We start from the raw sequence: 17352 nt of genomic DNA, 5'->3' as shown, positions 1-17352 counted from the left end.
TTGTTACATGTCAACTGAAAGCACTCCCGGCCTCTGAACCCTGATGGGCTCCTAAGCCTCTTGCAGCTGCCTGACTCTGGAGCCGGGGCGGCCAGGGTACTCACCTGCGGCAGCCCGTCCTCCCGCCTCCGGCTCTGGTTCGGGCGGTTGATGAAGGACCGCGTGGAGACTTTGTAGTGGTTCAGCAGGCAGACGATGACCACCACCATCACCGTGACCACCACGACGATGATGATGATTTGGGCGAACTCCAGCTCCGCTGCCATGGAAGAGGAGAGTGGTTAGCCACCTGGCCCCTCCAGTCCCCACCCATTCTCCAGGCACTGTCACCACCCCAGCCATCAGGCCCTGAAGGCCTCTCACACACGTCTGTTCCTCAGAGGCCAGCAGGACACAGAAACGACTGTCCCACTTTAGGGAAGGAGACACCACGGCACAGTCGGGAGGCTGTGCAAACCAGCTGCGGGGAGCGGGAAGCCTCTGCCATCCCCCACCACAGGGAGCTGAGAACGTCTCCACAAACTGAAGCTATTTCTCCAATGTCACCGCTCTAGAAAAGTTAAACCCGTCTTTATGGTTGAGTGGAGTTTCTCAAAGCAATTCCCCTAGGGACCCATACTTGAAAGGAAAAATCAACTTCAGCCCCTTGCCTCCAAGGCTGTGGCTCTGCAGGTGAGTTAGGAAACATCCACATTGTTTCCAGGCCTTCAGGCACAGCACTTTAGGAGTGGTCAGGTCTCCCCTGGGTTTCTGACACCACCACCCCAAAGATTCCTTAAATGCCATTGACACACACTTCACATGTGAGTCCAGCAACACAGAGTGACTTCCAGTCACAGCACATTGGGCCGGCAGCTGGAAGCAGGTGAGCCAGACCCCCGTTTTGGGAGAGGAAGCAGGTCGAGGGCTCACGGGCGGCCTGGAGCCACTTTCTGCTCCCCTCTTCCAGCCCATGGCTCTGCTGCCTGCTTCACTCCTTGTCCCCCGTGCTGGAAGGAAGTGACTGACCGTGCAGTGATGTAAATTCAGAGCAAGGGGCTCGGGGATGCTAAGAGGAAGACAGTGCAGGAATCTGGGGGAGGCAGGAGTAAGAAGAGAGAAGCCATCAACTGTGCTGCCCTGGGCTCACAGCACACATGCACACACATGCATGCACGTACATGTGCCGCAGCAGGGCTCAGGCCCCGGCCAGTGGGGAGGCATATCTGTCAAGTGTATCCGCTCATACGTGGGGCGATGCAGGCAGAGATCAGGTGGTGCCTCCCCAGTGGCTACGACTGTGTGCGTCTGCTGCCCACACCCTGGGAACCGAGGGTGAGGCTGGACGAGGGGTTCTCTGGATCCCCACATGTCCTACCCTTCAGCACGGCCCTCCACTTCCACCCTCAGACCCCCACACCCTAGGGACTGAGGGTGGGAGTGGAGGGCAGTGGGACACTGGGGCCTATAGGAGAGGCGCTGGTGTCTTGAGAATGAAGAGCAGACTGTGTAGGAGGCTGGTGGCTGAGCTGTGCAGAGAGCAGGTGGACCTGCCAAGGGCCCCCTGCCCCCGCAGGCAGGGAGAGGCCAGGCTGGTGGGAACATCACTGTTCCCTGTGGACACGGACAAAGCCATGCTCAGAGGCTCAGAGGCCATGCCCTGAGCAGCTCCCGAAGCTGGCAGTCAGTGAGGCCTGCCGGCCCCGCCCCAGCCAAGGGGGTGCTGTTGCTCTTGGGTTCCCCGTGGCCTGTCCGCTAAGTGGCAGGGACTCTAGGGGCCTGGTGCCCGGCCCAGCCTTGGGGTTTGAGTGTCTACTTCCTATGGGGAGGAAATGTCCATTGGAGCTGCCACACTTATATGTGCCACCCCCGCCCCCCCCCGGCCCCACCCCCCCACCCACACACACACAAAAACGCTCCCCAGGGCTTATCAACAATTTTCATGTTGGGGGCTTCCTGGAAAAGACTGAAATTGCTCTGAGTCTTCGAGCAGGGGCTTGGGCCCTTTGCAATTGGGTTCCAATAGAAAAGTGGCCTTATTTCTGCTCACAGGCCATGGGAAGTATGACACGCTTGTTTACCTAGGAACACAGTCTTCGACTCTGCCCCTGCACATAACCTTCCTGTGTCTGGGACACTCTGGCCTTGACCCTGTGTTTCTCAGGACCCTACCCCCACACACCATGTGACGTCTCCCAGGCTGAGTCCGGAGCCCCTACTTTGCCCCTCTTGACACGGGAGGCAGCTAAGTGGCTTAACTGGTACAAGGTGAATTGATGAGCGACTCAGCACCCCCAGGCTGAGAGAAGGGGCTGGGATGTGTGGCCCCGGTGGGCTCTGCCCAGCTGCATGGGTGTGTTCTCTGTGAGGACAGCCACTGCCAACAGGATAAGGCTGCACTGGCTGCAGAGTGCCCGAGTGCGCCTCCAGCAGCCCTGAGGGTCTGTGCAGGGGTCAGCCACCAGCCCAGGGATAAGCATGAAAGGAAGCAGAGAGACTCCGCTCAGGACAAAGGCAGTGAACACAGTGGTGAGGGCTGAACCCCGAAGTCGAAGACTGTGTTCCTAGGTAAACAAGCATGTCATACTTCCCATGGCCTGTGAGCAGAAATAAGGTCACATTTCTATTGTGACCTGAATAATGCCTTCTTTTACCAATGCTTGTTTTTATTTTGTGGTTAAATAGCGGAGTATTCACAAATTAAAGCATGCCCTAGGATTTCCAAATGTTTTCTTTACAAGAGAACTTCACTGCTTTATGGACATGGATATAGAGGAAAATCATGGTGACAGGGAAGGATCAGCACAAAGTCCTGCAATGAATCAACTCTTCCCTTGGAGGACACCTTTCTAGGTCATCTGTTCTTGACTATGGAAAGCTATGCAGACAAGCATTTGCAGCAAAGCAAATCAAATTATGTTTTCACAAGTCTCTGGGCATTTTTTACATATTTGTGTTTCATTTGAAAAGGATTTTTATTATAAAAATAATGAAAACTTCTTGAAAATTTAAATCATATAGAAGGAAACAGTGCAGTGTAAAGTCTCCCATCCCAACCCACAGCGCCCCTGACTCCACCAAGCCCCACTCCGTCCCGGGGGAAAGCCCAGGCCTCCGTTGCATGTGTGTGTGTTTGCTACAAAATAAAGCCTTTCCTTTTTTCAGTTATTGGAATCGATGTGCAAATATCTTGTTTGTGTCTTTTCACTTAATACATCACAGACCTCTTTAAACAAGAACACACGTGCACTGGCCTGTCTGTTACAGAGTACAAACATACTGGCATTTGCCTTCTCCAGCTGGTGGCTGTTCAGGTGGCTTGCTTTTTTTCTTTTTTCTCTTATGACCACAAAATTGCATGTGTATATGTGCAAGTGTGTGGCTGGCACACGTTTGTCAGTATACTTGTAGGAAAGACTCCTAAAAGTGACATTTCTGGACCCAGGGCATAATCACTTTTCATCCTCATGGCTACTGAGAACCTGCCTTTTGTAAAGGCTGCATTCGTTTAGGCTGTCCCAGGAAGAAGGCATGTTCCCCATGCCCTCATTCACCCTGGAGACTCGCCCTTTTAACTGGTGACAATCTGATGGCAAAAATATGTATCTCATTTTAATTTGTATTTCTCCAATTACTGGTAATTTCAGATCTTTCCCTATGGTTATGGTAATTTGTGTTTCTCTTTTTCATAATCATATTGGTGTATTTATAGTTTTCTCATTTATTTCTTATGTATTTATATGAAATCTTTACATATTATGGTTACACATCTTTGTCTGTTACATGTTGCAACTATTTCCCCTAGCCAGTCATTTCTTGAAACTTCACCATGAGTTTCTCTATAGATGCTATAAACTTTTATGCCATCAAATACTCTCTTTTTCCTTTATGGCCTCTAAACATCCTGTTTGATTGGGAAGGTCCTCTTTAATATTCTAAACATATTTTTTTCCTAAGATTTTTGGAGTTTGAATTTTATGTTAGATCTTTATTTGCTCTGGATTTTATTCCTCTTTTGGTCTGACACAGCACATGGAACATGTGATATTGACTGAAAGGTGTGCATCTTCTGAGCTAATATATCTGATTTTAAAATTCAGGCAAGGATAAGAAAGATCTCAGTTGTATGAAACAGTGCATGGAATTACTCTCTGTAAAACTAAACTCCAGGCCAGGCGTGCCTGGAATCTCAGCACTTTGGGAGACCAAGACGGGGGAATTGTTTAAGACCAGGAGTTCAAGATCAGCCTGGGCAATATAGCGAGACCCTGTCTCTTAAAAAAAAAAAAAAAGTAAAGGCCCCACCATCTTTCTTTTTAAGGGGACTGCTTTCTTATAAACCTGCCACACACAGGTACCGCCCTGCCCTGCTGGGACACCTGCACCATGCTGTTGCCCTGAGGCTCCAAATATGAGTCATGCCCAGCCGTGGCAGGTGCATCTACAGCACATGGATGAGCGTCGGCCCTGGGGGTTCACGGGCACCCTAGTGGCATGGTGCCTGGGGCAGGTCAAGTTCATGGGCATGCTCAGAGGCTGTGGGAGCAGGAACACTGTCCTCAGGAGCCTGCAAACCGAATCGAGTGGCCCCGTGGGGTGCCCTGGGGTGGCGGCAGCCTGATGAGGCCTGAGCCATGAAGGCACTCAGCCCTGGGCACAGGAGGCAGCTCTTCCTGCAGGCAACAAAGACCCAGGGATACCTGGGTCCCAGAGACCACCATCCTCACAGCCTGGTCATCTCACTGCAGCAGCTTGGTCCCTGGCTGCAGGTGACGGTGGCCGGTGGGTGCTCCCGAAGCCCTCCCCTGAGGGCGTCAGGGTCTGGTGCGGGGCCCACACACGCGGCAGAGCCTTGCTCTGGGGACTCTGGGCAAAACCCATCAGTGGAAACAGACCTCCTTCTCGTCTTTAAGTCACAGGAGCCAGAACACTAGCAACAGAAAAGATGAGCATTGTACTCTCTTCAGGGCCACAAAGCCTCCCCAGGCAGGGCCCAGGAGATCCTCAAAGTGAAAACTGCAGTCAACAGGTTCTTGGAAACGTGTGTGAGGATTCCCAGACCCTGAGCCCTGCATTGAGATGCCCTCTCCCTCCATGACCCCCTTTCAAGCTCACGAGGGGGTGTGTGGCAACCCCCCCCCCCCCACCTGTCCTCCCACACCCTCTCAGTCATTTTAAACAGGAGAATTCCACTAAACACCCACAGCCTGTTTTCACGTGGCAGGGCAGGGAGGTGGCTGTGGTGCGTGGAGCCCAGCATCCACAGAAAGGAAAGACACCTGGGGTTTGGGTTTCGTTTTTAGGGGTTGGGGAGGAGTGGGCTGGAAAGGGGAGGCTAAGAAGAAAATGAATTCTGGAAGAACTGTTAAAACAGAAAGTTTAGAAAAATAAAACCCGCAGGAATAGTAGCATTCTTAGAAAATTAATAGGATGCTTTGGGGCTTCCAAGATGCTACACGCCTAACACGGATTCTGAACACAGACCACTGGTTGAGTTTCCTTGTTCAACAGTAACAGATGTCCACAGAAGAGTGCTAGAAAGCAGGGCACGCAAGGAAAGAAGTTGAGGCCAAAGTCAAACGTTCACATCCCCCTTCTACGGCGCTGTAGTTCATGATGCTGTAACAGATGAGTCACTGCAATGGAAATACCGGATACTTTTTAATACATCTAGTCTAAAACTTACAGGAAGGCATCCTAGCACCTTCTTTTATTATTGTACAGCAGTGACAGTGACGACAGTGATGATGGCATCTCTCTATTTTTATGGAAACATCTCCAGGAAATCCCAAGCTGCACAGTGGAGAATTACAGGAACAGAAGAAGTGGTGTGAAGTCTGTCGGTCTCTTCCCTGGTTCAATGAGGAGCTGAACTGAATCATACTAGAGGCATGAGTGTCTGCGCTATTTTTAAAGAGCTCTGGGGAAGTGTGGTTGTCCCACCTTAGGCTCCTAATATAACACTCATTTCTATTTGTGGGATGGTTAACACCATCTTCCATTTGGTCTTTCCTCCACTAATATATTATCCTTCACTGAAGTCTTATTTCTACAGTTTAATTCTTTTTAAGCTCCAGATGTGTTATGTATGCCCTCAAAGACCCTATCATGGGTCAGGGGGCAAGGTCTGGGCCCCTCATGCGTTCCTCTCTTTCCCCAGGCCAAGTAAACACCTTGGCAGGAATCCAGAAAACGATCCACGCAGAACATTGCAATGTCACAGAAATGGCCGCCCACTGGCCACGAAGCCCTGGCCCCACCCTGCGAGGTCACTTCCTACCCTACCAACAGCAGCACCCCACCTCACTCCCCTACGTGCTGGCCTTTCCTGGAGCACCAAACCCAGGGCTGGCTGACCGCAGAGCCTTACCTCCAGGCAGCCCCTTCCCCTGCACGCCTCCTGCCCCACCGCTGGGACAGACACCCACCCTCCCACATGTTGGCTGGGCCTGCTTGGCTACTGCACAGTGAACTTGTCGCATTTCCTTCCTGTCTCTGTCCTCCTCAGCAGAGACGGGTGTGGTGATGAGATGACAGTCTTAGGGGTGTCTTACTCTTTATTTATGGCTCTGTGACACTTTTAAAGTGCTGAATGTTCCTAAAGGCTGGTAAATTCTTTCCAAGATCCTCCAGAGACCGGGCGGCGGTGGTGGCAGGAAGACGGGTGGGGGCAGGAGTTGGAATCTACTTAGACTATAATTGCCTCAAGTTTGTGAACTGTTAGTATAAAAATACTCTTGGAGATTTTAATGGTTGAATGAAGATTCACACTCATTAAACACCATGGTTGAGGGGGAAAATTCAGCCTGTGTTACAAGAATGACTTCACAGCTTGAAGTACAGAAGCAAAACAATAAGAGCTATCATCATACTGATTACATTATATATTTTGAATTTTATTTTCCTTGGAGGTGGGTTGGCTACTCTACTGTATAGTACAACAAGTAGAACGAAAGGGAAAAAAGCTACCCTACAGAAATACCCAGTTTTTGGCGTCACCTGCTGGCTTTATCTTCCTTTAAAAGCTCTTTCCTAAGCCCCGATGATGGGTTCACTACCTTTGGGGACTTCCTGTGCAGCTCTGAACCCTGTTGCAGCACTTATCACTGTCTTGGTGGTATCCATTCTCTGGTCTTCTTCCTCTACAGAGTGAGCCCTGGGTCAACGCCTTGTTCATCCACAGTGTCTCAGCAGGTAGTGTGTGCCTGGCACAAAGTTGGCATTCCCCATTTAGAAGCTGGTGGAGAAGCCCTAAGAACGAAGGGACCCCAACGGCCTGACCTGCTTCAACAGCATCCAGCACAGACACGTATTCTCCCAAACACTTCCTGATGACTTCAGTGGTGCTGGAGTTTTGCTAAAGGTTTTCATATTTTGCAACAATTATTCAAAAATTACTACTCTAAGAGGGTGTGATCTGTCACTGAGAAAAGAGCCTCCTGGTTACTCTGAGCTGCCTGTTTATAGCCATGTATTTATGTACAACATTTGCATGACAATAAAATGAGGAAACGGTCCCTATGATCTGTAGGTGGAGAGATGAACGTGGAGGGCAGGTGTGACCCAGGCGCGGCTACCTGATACCGGCCCAAGGCCAGGTGCCTTGGACGGCACGGGCAGGCGGGCAGCAGCCCGTGATGACTGGACGGACTAGGGAATCCCTCGAATGCAGACTCCACGAGCCCGTCCAGCTGGAGTGGCATCTCCTCACTTTATGAAAGCCCAAGCCTTCATCCACTACAATTACTTCTCACCACGCATTTTAGAATCTAGAGTTTCATGATCTCTTCAGAAAGAAATTTACCTAAATATGTTCTGATCAAAGATGACTGACAGGATTTTCTAAAAAATCAGCAGAGGAGTAAGAGCAATTATAAACCTTTTAAAAGTCTATCCCTCTGCCATGCTATAAATGGAAAAAAATACATACATAAGCCATAATTCCCCCTATAGGATTCATTTAAAATCCACCCTCACCTCCACCTCCACATTATTAATTTAGGAAAGTGCATCAGAAAAAAAACACAGCTGCACATGGAATGGAACCTTCATTTCCACAGGGGAGAGTGGTGGCTTCTGAGGCTCTCATCCCACAGCCAGTCTGTCTGTCTCTCACTTTCTTTGGCTCTCTATCTCTCAGAGTCACAGTTCTCCTTCCTAATAGCTCCTGTCACTACATGGATGACCTAAGAAAGTGTTCAATGAACCAGCCACATCCTGAGAAATACCTTTTCTTTAAAATGCAGTTTTCAGCTCATGAGGGTGAAGAAAAAGGAATTATTAACAAGTAGCAGAATTTCCAGGGGAGGTCTCAGCCTTATATACAGACATTTGAAAAAAACAAAACTCCAAAGCAACAAACTGTGTACTCATGCATAACACCTCCAACAGGAACAAACTAATTCCAGGCTTGAAAGAAGATGAAAAAGCCTGACATGCATCTTCCTAAAGGGAGTCCCACCCGGAAATGTTCTGAGTTGACAGACCCCTCTTAGGTAGAAAGAAACTTCTTGAGAAAGAGCTTCTCCTCTTCTCAGCTCTGTCCTCAGACCAAACTCCAAGAAGAACCACAGCAAACCCGAAAGAGCATGCATCATCCATAGCAGTTCTTGGGAAATGTACCTTTTTTTAAGAACAGGTCTTTGAACTGAGCCTCCTTCAGTGTGCTGTTGTTCAGGTGGTCACTGGACATAATCAGGTCCTCTGCAAGTGGGAGTCCAACTGTGACGCAGCCCCCCCACGTTCAAAGCATCCCTTCAGCTTCCGGCAATCTCCTCTCCAGGCAGCTCAGAGCTGCAGTTATAGCTGGCATGGGGTGTGGGAGAGTGTGTGAGCGTGGAGGGGGGGGGGGTGTGTTTCTGTCTGCCTCGTTCACTCTCTCTCTACTGTATCAGCAGGGCCCACCCCAGGTGCTAGACTCAAATGCTGTGGCTCCGACCGCAGACTGTGGCTACCAATTATCAACTGCCATCAACAGAAACCAGGAGCTCTGCGGCAGGAAGCCGGCCGTGTCACCGAGCAGAGAATAAGTCCGGGGTCTCCGATCCTGAGACCAGCTGTACACCCAGGGCACTACTGTTTACAGCAACGTCTATCAGTGAGCAGTCTGCACTTCTCAGGTTTGGCCTCACACCTGGACGTGTCACACACACAGGCAAGCAGAACGCAGCTAGACGGCTCATCTTGTCACACTGCGTTCAGTAATCTTTTCAACAGGCAAATATCAAACCAGTCCAGACAGAAAGGAGGAAATCTGCAAGTCTCACACAATACTCCTTCCCTTGATCTCTGCTGGAAGCTTTCAGTGTGGAAGGACCGGAGAGGGCGCTTACCAAGGCAGGACACGCGACAGGCGGGACGCTCACGTTAGGCTCGCGTGCTTCTCCCCTGCAGATCCGCTCCCAGAGCGTGCTCGCCCGGCTGGGAGCACCCACAGCGTCCCTCAGGCTGCGAGCCAGGCTGCGGGCTGTCCTCTTCTGGTGCTCCCTCTCCACATCCTCTAACTGATGGGAGCAGCTCCCAGCGGCTCTTGCCACCGAGCTCTGTACTGGCAAGGCGTGAGGTCCTAACCGCAGCAGGAAACACTGCGCGCTCCTTTCCCCCCGGCTCGCTCTTCCCTCTTGGCTCTCCCATTCATTCCCTCTCCCTCTGCCTCACATCATTATTCCCCATGTATGGTAGCACAAAAACACCACAGAGACTCCTTCAAAGTCAGGATGCTCAATGTTCCTAGGCAGTTTTAGTTTATAAGGATCAGAAATTAGAGAACAGAATCCCAGGCAATTCAAACATGAAAGCAGAGACATGTCTCAGGAGGGCGCTTTCTCCTGGTTCATTTTGTTCAAGCACAGTCTCTTTTCCCCGAGGTCTAAACAGTTTGTTTCATCTGAGTGTAAAACATCTCCCGTGCATTCGGATGCCCCCAGGCTGTGTGAAGAAAATTCAGGGCAGGCTGCGAGTCTGTCGCAGTTTTCAGAGAAAATCACGGGGTGGCCGTGGTGGAAAGGGCAGCCTGCCATGGTAACGCTGCAAATAACCCCCACCACAAGCACTGCCGGGAGCCCAGAATAGCCTTTGTTTTTCCTTATTTAGGGTAAATAGGAATGACATGTGGGCCATAACAATAGTTTTGGCTGTAGGAGGAGTTGTCAAAGCAAAACTAAACTCTGTTGGTTACTACCAGCGTTAGAAGCCAGGACAGTGACGTTAGCGGCCAGCCCTGCTGTCAGCCCAGCACGTCACCTGGGGCATGACAGCAGGGACTGGGCCCTGATGTCACCGCAGGGTCCTCCAGGTGGCTAGAAGACATCACTTTCTCATGTTCTCATTTTTGGGGGCAGGGGCAGAAAAGCAACAGAAGAACCACCCAGAAGAGTTTCCAGAAGCTTCACGTGGATAAAAGGAAACCAGAGAATTTCAGCAAGGAAAGTGACCATTTATTAATATACAGCCGCGAGGGAAATCCGGATGGTATGATTCTTCCTGAGCAATTTCCGAATTAAAAATGGAACTCCCCTCCCTGTGCCAGACTTTCCCTGACTTCTCAGAGTCACCCTGCTGGGTGAATGAAGAGGGAGTCACCCTCAGAAAGAGGCAGCTTCAGAAAGAATTAGAAGCTGCAGCCACTTCAAGCCGCCCCTCCCTGGCTACCAGCGCCCCTTGTCCCTGGAGCCCCGAGGCTCCTTGCCACCTGGGCCAGCACTTCCTGGTCAGGCTCAGTCACATGATAGGCTTGCCCTCAAGCCAGGGCCTTAGTGAGGAGCGCTGTAGGCCACTGTACCTGTCTGTTTCTTAAAATTAGGGCTTTGTGGGGCAGGCACGGTGGCTCAAGCCTGTAATCCTAGCACTTTCGGAGGCCGAGGTGGGCGGATCACCTGAGGTCAGGAGTTCAAGACCAGCCTGGTCAACATGGCGAAACCCGTCTCTACTAAAAATACAAAAATTAGCCAGGTGTGGTGGCACACGCCTGTGATCCCAGCTACTCAGGAGGCTGAGGCAGGAGAATTGCTTGCAACTGGGAGGTAGAAGTTGCCATGAGCCAAGATAGGGCCACTTCACTCCAGCCTGGGCGACAGAGTGAGACTCCGTCTCAAAAAAAAAAAAAAAAAAAAAAAAAAAAAAAAAAAAAAAATTAGGGCTTTGGTGAACTTCATGGAACTGGAAAAGTTCTTCTCTCCTTTGCTAATGAACATATTTGCATTTTGAAATGGTTATAAATAGCCCGCTCTGGGATTTAACATGGTGTAAAATGAATATTTCATATATAAAAAAAGAAAATCAACATTTTTTTCTTTCATTTAACGGCCATCAGCTATTCCCCAGTGTCTCAACACACTTACTGTGTTTGGCTAGCTTCCCTGTCACTGGGCATCTTGGCCATGGGAGCCAATCTTTTTCTTTTCTTTTTTCTTTTTTTGGATGCAGTCTTGCTGTGTCGCCCAGGCTAGAGTGCAGTGGCGAAATTTCTGATTACTGCAACCTCTGTCTCCCCGGTTCAAGTGATTCTCCCACCTCAGCTTCCCGAGTAGCTGGGATTACAGGCGTGCGCCAACATGCCGGGCTAATTTTTGTAATTTTTGTATTTTTAGTAGAGATGGGGTTTCACCATGTTGGCCAGGCTGTCCTGGAACTCCTGACTTCAAGCGACCCACCAGCTTCGGCTTCTCAGAGTTCTGGGATTACAGGTGTGAGCCACCACGCCCGGCCATGGAGCCGATCTTAATTAAGCTCCTTGCCCACTCAGTTTAATGTTCTCACAGTTCAACCTGTTTAAAAACCACTTTCAAAACTTTTGACTTTATGAATACAAGTTTACTTTGAAAACATTGCCCACACCTAACACACACACACACACACACACACACACGCACACACACACGCATAATGAGCGCTCCTGTGGGTGTCTGGGGACATGGTGTAGAGTCTGTCTTGGGATGTGTGGCTTAAACACAGGCACAGGGCCTCTCCCAGCGCCTCTGAGGGGCTGTCTGGGCGGATGTACTAGATAGTGCTCTTGAGTTTTGTTTTTATTCCTTTTAAGCACCACTTGAAGATGGTGCTTCAGAAAGGAAGTTCCGAGGTCAAGTCGTGACTCAGGGTTCATGCCCTGATACACAGCTCACCCTGGCTGCATGACAGCACGTCCATCACTGGGAATTTTAGCTGAGAGCTGCCAATATTTCTTTTCCCTTCATTCAGAGAAAATGGCAGCACACATAGCAGAAGGGCATGGGAGAGGGAAGTCTGTGGAACACACAAATATGAAAGTGTAAAAACATTTGCATTCGGCACTCTCTCCTCCCTCATCATCTTTACATCGCATCTTTCACGTAAGTACTCTGATGGCTATCACGTCTAATATGAGTTTTGTGCAGTCACCAACGCATCTCAGAGCTTAGGAGGCATCTGTGTGTGCAGCAGGGGCCTTGAAAATGGAGCAAGGCAGGGACACCAAAGACTTTCACAAGAGTTGTTGGTAGCAACAAGGACTTGAGATTCTAACGATATCTCTTCAAGGTTTCCTCTATAAAGGTCTTCAGTTCATTAATCCATCTGACAAATATTTACCTGAGCGTTTACAGTCCTTAGGAGGAAACGCACTGGACCTTCAGTGAAGTCCTACAGATAAGCGTTTCTGTGTGGCTGAGCTCGTCTCAGGTTCCATCTGCAGGTAGTTGCTTATTTAAGGAACCAAACGGGCTTTAAGGATCGGCTACCAGTTGAGACCTGCATAGGAGAAGCTAAGGTGGCTGGAACCTTGCTGTCCTGAATGGCCAAAAAGAGGCAGCCTAAGCCAGGGATTTGATTGGAGGTGATCAGCTGAGATTTCAGCTCTCATCCAGCCACTCCAAGTATGGTAAGTTAGTAGCTCAGCGGCTACTCAGAGCTCATTAGCTTCAGAAAAAAATTTCTGAGTGGTAAAGGGAGGCTCTGCTCGCCCAGAATCTGTAACTGTCATCTCTAAGCCCAGTTAGCATCTCACCCAGCCCAGGTCCCAGCCCCAGCTCTCACCCCCAGGGCTTCTCGGTATGCCCCGCTGCCTCCCCCTCCAGTTGCCTCCCCCTCCACAGCCTGCCCCACCGCGGGTGCTTCACTCACAACAGAAATTCTCGCAGATAAAGATCACTTGAAGAATTAGAAATAGTGATCGCCGTTCTAACTGGCGTGAGATGGTATCTCATTGTGGTTTTGATTTGCATTTCTCTAATGATGAGTGATGATGAGCTTTTTTTTTTTTTCATATGTTTGTTGGCTGCATAAATGTCTTCTTTTGAGAAGTGTCTGTTCATATTCTTCATCCACTTTTTGATGGGGTTGTTTTTTCTTTTACACTGTTGGTGGGAGTGTAAATTAGTTCAACCACTGTGGAAGACAGTGTGGCAATTCCTCAAGGATCTAGAACCAAAAATACCATTTGGCCCAGCAGTCCCATTACTGGGTATATACCCAAAGGATTATAAATCATTCTACTATAAAGACACATGCACACGTATGTTTATTGCAACATTATTTACAATAGCAAAGACTTGGAAAGAACCCGAACACCCATCAGTGATAGACCAGGTAAAGAAAATGTGGCACATATACACCATGGAATACTATGCAGCCATAAAAAAGAATGAGTTCATGTCCTTTGCACAGACATGGATGAAGCTGGAAACCATCATCCTCAGCAAACTAACACAGGAACAGAAAACCAAACACCACATGTTCTCACTCATAAGTGGGAGTTGAACAATGAGAACACATGGACACAAGGAGGGGAACATCACACAGTGGGGCCTGTTGGGGGCTGGGGGAGGCAAGGGGAGGAAGGGCAATAGGACAAATAACTAATGCATACAGGGCTTAAAACCTAGATAATGGGTTGAGAGGTGCAGCAAACCACTATGACACATGTATACCTATGTAACAAACCTGCACATACAGCACATGTATCCCAGAACTTAAAGTAAAATAAAATAATAAGAAAAAAAGAATTAGAAATACCTTTTCAATGGTTCTGCAGCATAAAGTTAGCATTTGTAAACATTCATAAAGGTTTACTGCTATATGCAAAGCACTTTCAAGCACTATATATCTCTTATATTCATGCCAACCCTGTGAGGCACATTTTTCTTGTTACCACTTTACAGATGGGGAAACTGAGGCTCAGAGAGGGTGAGTCTTTTGTCCAAGGGCAAACTGCTGGTGAGAGGCCAGCTAGGAGTTGGAGCCGGGATAGTCTGACTCTGACACTCCCATCCGGCCACCCACTCATTGTTTTGCTCAGTGGTAGCAAGCTCAGAATTAATTAGCCAACAGTCAACAAATGTAGCAACCACTGAAACTAACCAAAGGATGCCAGTGGACTGATGATGACTTACTTTGATTTTTTTAGCCTGATTACCCGATTTTTTGGGGCACTAAGAGGATGTGTTTACTTGCAAATCCATGTAAAAGATTCTACATCTCCACATGTTGCCATGAGGCTCTTGGAGCCATTTTATGTGTCTCGTCTGCCTGTTAATGCAGCTCTTGTTAAGAATCGATGGCTCTGCCCATTACAAATTCCCATTCTTTGAGGTTTACGACTATGCTATAAAATTTTGCTCTGAGATGAAATTTTCCACATAAAAATTAATCCCTGGAATTTGGCCTTTAGAAACAGTACATTTTAAGTCAGTTTGTTATGCTTAAAGTCATGAATGAGGATTTTAAAAGAACACAAACTTTATGTTCCCACAGACTCAAAACATGGAAATAGTTTGATATTTGTGGACATTAGTCTATAACATGGAATAATCTTCTAGCGTATCCTTGGAACTTAGAAAAACGCAGCACAGAGACAGCTTTATGTAGAAACGCAAATGCTCTGCGTGTGCTCCCACCAGCCCTGTCGTCTGGTAGGAATGTTAACAAATATAAAAGTGTGTGACCCCATGGAGCTAGCAAGCCAATAATGCGGATTACAAATGTATTAAATAAATTAGTTCAGATTAAACAGCTTTAAAATAGCTTCCTAATATGCAAAAAGACTCCCTGAATTAGCAGATTTGAGTTTATGTTACACATTATCTATGCTACTAAGCGGAAAAAAGGAATTACTTATGAGTCCACATTTATGGTGGTATAGATTTTCATAATGGCTAAGCTACCTCCTAAGTGGGTTTGTGCCTGAAATTGCAGCTACCCTTCCAAGCCCCAGAAGAAAATGGGAGGCAGTATAAAGTTTTTATAGAGGCCAGTTAGAACCAACGTTGGGTTCCAACCCTGCCACCTGTGTTAGGTTGAGCTGGGTGCGTTTCCTCATCTATAAAATGAGGCTGAGAATACTTACTTCACAGGGTGGTCAGGAGGATGAAATAACGCATCCAACCCTCGCTCCTCAGAGTGTGGTCCAGAGACCACCAGCAGCAGCATCCCCTGGGAGCTTATGAGAAATGCGATCTTGAGCCCCGCCCAGACCTGGGGAACTGGAGCCTGCATGTTAACCAGATGCCCAGGAGAGTGATGTGCATGTCACCATTTCAGAAGCCCTGCTCTACTCCAGACTCCTCACCTGGATGAAATGAGCAAGCCGGGGGCTTGGAGAAATCGTGGTGCCAGCATACCACCACGAGGACATGTGAGGGCTCTTGTTTTTGCTAATTGTCATTCAACAATGATTTTAAAGAACAGTACTCAACCTCAACACAAACAGAGTTTGTGTGCACATGTAGGTAGAGCAGTAACACTGTCCTCCTGGGCATGGCAGGTGCTTCCTGCTGTCCTCCGCTCTGTGCTGATGGGTCATGATTGATCTACCTGCACCTTTCAGGAGAACCAGCAGGGGTTAACAGTGTCGTTAAGGTCCCCAAGAATGGCAAAGCTAGCTGGCTTATGTTAACAGAGACCCTGGGCTGGACACAGTGGCTCACACCTGTAACCCCAACACTTTGGGAGGCCAAGATAGGAGGACTGCTTGAGGCCAGGAGTTTGAGACAAGCCTGGGCAACACAGTGAGACCACATCTTCAAAAAAAATTTAAAAATTAGCCAGGTGTGGTGGCATAGGCCTGTCATCCCAGTTACTCCGGAGGCTGAAGCAGGAGGATCACTTGAGCCCAGGAGGTCGAGAGTGCAGTGAGCTGTGATTGTGCCAATGCACCCCAGCTTGCACAACAGAATGAGACCCTGTCTCATTAAAACAGAGGCTCTAGTGTTGAGACACTATTTCTAGAATATTTGGCATCCTTCTTAAAAACTCAAGAAGTCTTTCAGGATTTCTGGACACCATATGTTAAGAGAACACTCTAATTCTGCGCTCTGGACAAACTCAAGTGCCAGGAGCAGACTTCTTGTAAAGACAGAATGATGAAGACGCCAAGCCTCCGTCCCTATGAGCCTGGCCCCGCTTTCTCTCTGTCCCCGCCTCGGCCTTCCTGTTCCTTGAGAGAGCCAGATGCCAGGAAGGGTCCTGGCCCTTGAGCATTCTGGAAGCAGCACCTACTCCTGCCACATGTGTCCTGCCTGCCTGGTGGCTGCTGGCACGCCCCCAAATGTTTCTTTATCAACAAGGCATACTGAGAGTGCCTTCAGAAAACTGCCAGTACATCTTCTGGGTGGGAGGGTGTTGAAGGGGGATAGAAATCTGCATATTATCAGGTGAAACATGTTTTTCCTATAGAAAAACACACTGGATATTTTACTGTTTAAAATGCTTGATGTAGTTACTCAGGAAAATATTTTATTTTGCTTTTTAAATATATCACAATTTTCACTTTCATCCCCAAAATGGAAGGCTGAATAACTTTCGTAATTCATCTTATTTCTGGGTACACCACAGAAAATGAGGCTCGAGATGTTTATTAACTCAGGAGTTAGATACTGCTATTCTAGTTCTCAGTTTTTAACCCCATAAAAATTGTAACTGCCCCTTGAGAGACTGAAACCCCAGTTTCATTAGCTCCTTAATCCAGGCAAATGTCACGCATTCTTGCACACACGCAGTATATGGCACACATAGGTGGTGCTCATGATGGTCCAGGTTGTTGCCAAGTGACCGCACCCCTGGGGCCGTTATTCCCATAGCTGTTAGGGCAGCAGGCCTGCACCCGTCCTAAGCGGCACATACTGTCATCTCTGTAGCTCCTCTCTGTCTTGCTTATAAACTGCAGGATGTGTCCAGGTGGCTCCAAGACCTTTAGCTTGGCCAAATCATTCATTTCTTCAAAAGTTGTGATAAAGTCAAGGCACATTCCAGGGTTTTAGTTTTATACTGGAGCATATACTAAGCCATATATCAGAGAAAGTATGGCCCAAAAATCCAAGCTAGTCCAAAGTCAACCTTGACATCAGACCTATATAACTATACTCCGTTTTCATCTTCAGCATTTAAGACTAGCCTGACACA

The 17352-nt window shown here is 48.4% G+C and overlaps 1 protein-coding gene and 1 non-coding gene across 52 annotated transcripts in view, besides 8 other annotated features; both read right to left on the bottom strand.

The window, feature by feature from the left end:
- Positions 1-17352, bottom strand: part of LDLRAD4 (low density lipoprotein receptor class A domain containing 4) — a 435073-nt gene that overhangs the window by 31379 nt on the left and 386342 nt on the right. For 48 of the 51 annotated variants that reach the window (NR_172142.1, XM_047437773.1, XM_047437776.1 and 45 more), the window contains one exon: positions 105-259. Coding sequence is in view for 50 of the 51 variants with exons in the window: in XM_047437773.1 (XP_047293729.1) it covers positions 105-259 (155 nt within the window). In the remaining variant the exon portion in view is untranslated. Of the gene's footprint in view, positions 1-104; positions 260-8601; positions 9913-17352 lie in introns of those variants that run through there. The other 3 variants (NM_001003674.3, NM_001003675.3, NM_001276249.1) reach the window with 2 other exon arrangements.
- Positions 4537-5038: an enhancer, noted in NCBI's record as "H3K4me1 hESC enhancer chr18:13616337-13616838 (GRCh37/hg19 assembly coordinates)". NCBI's record gives its function as "activates a minimal SCP1, AML or CMV promoter by ChIP-STARR-seq in naive H9 embryonic stem cells {active_cell/tissue: H9 hESC(naive)}" and the evidence as "EXISTENCE:reporter gene assay evidence [ECO:0000049][PMID:30033119]".
- Positions 4866-4915: an enhancer, noted in NCBI's record as "active region_13128". NCBI's record gives its function as "activates an Ori minimal core promoter by ATAC-STARR-seq in GM12878 lymphoblastoid cells {active_cell/tissue: GM12878}" and the evidence as "EXISTENCE:reporter gene assay evidence [ECO:0000049][PMID:35858748]".
- Positions 5976-6045: an enhancer, noted in NCBI's record as "active region_13127". NCBI's record gives its function as "activates an Ori minimal core promoter by ATAC-STARR-seq in GM12878 lymphoblastoid cells {active_cell/tissue: GM12878}" and the evidence as "EXISTENCE:reporter gene assay evidence [ECO:0000049][PMID:35858748]".
- Positions 6076-6125: an enhancer, noted in NCBI's record as "active region_13126". NCBI's record gives its function as "activates an Ori minimal core promoter by ATAC-STARR-seq in GM12878 lymphoblastoid cells {active_cell/tissue: GM12878}" and the evidence as "EXISTENCE:reporter gene assay evidence [ECO:0000049][PMID:35858748]".
- Positions 7065-7582: an enhancer, noted in NCBI's record as "H3K4me1 hESC enhancer chr18:13613793-13614310 (GRCh37/hg19 assembly coordinates)". NCBI's record gives its function as "activates a minimal SCP1, AML or CMV promoter by ChIP-STARR-seq in primed H9 embryonic stem cells {active_cell/tissue: H9 hESC(primed)}" and the evidence as "EXISTENCE:reporter gene assay evidence [ECO:0000049][PMID:30033119]".
- Positions 7583-8102: an enhancer, noted in NCBI's record as "H3K4me1 hESC enhancer chr18:13613273-13613792 (GRCh37/hg19 assembly coordinates)". NCBI's record gives its function as "activates a minimal SCP1, AML or CMV promoter by ChIP-STARR-seq in primed H9 embryonic stem cells {active_cell/tissue: H9 hESC(primed)}" and the evidence as "EXISTENCE:reporter gene assay evidence [ECO:0000049][PMID:30033119]".
- Positions 8523-8752: an enhancer, noted in NCBI's record as "active region_13125". NCBI's record gives its function as "activates an Ori minimal core promoter by ATAC-STARR-seq in GM12878 lymphoblastoid cells {active_cell/tissue: GM12878}" and the evidence as "EXISTENCE:reporter gene assay evidence [ECO:0000049][PMID:35858748]".
- MIR4526 (microRNA 4526) lies at positions 10176-10262 on the bottom strand. Its single transcript, NR_039752.1, has one exon. It is a non-coding gene; the product is annotated as a microRNA 4526 (primary transcript).
- Positions 14031-14100: an enhancer, noted in NCBI's record as "active region_13124". NCBI's record gives its function as "activates an Ori minimal core promoter by ATAC-STARR-seq in GM12878 lymphoblastoid cells {active_cell/tissue: GM12878}" and the evidence as "EXISTENCE:reporter gene assay evidence [ECO:0000049][PMID:35858748]".

Source organism: Homo sapiens, chromosome 18 (genome assembly GCF_000001405.40).
Source record: "Homo sapiens chromosome 18, GRCh38.p14 Primary Assembly".
NCBI classification, from domain to species: Eukaryota; Metazoa; Chordata; class Mammalia; order Primates; family Hominidae; genus Homo; species Homo sapiens.
This window is presented reverse-complemented; position numbering and strand designations above follow the sequence as displayed.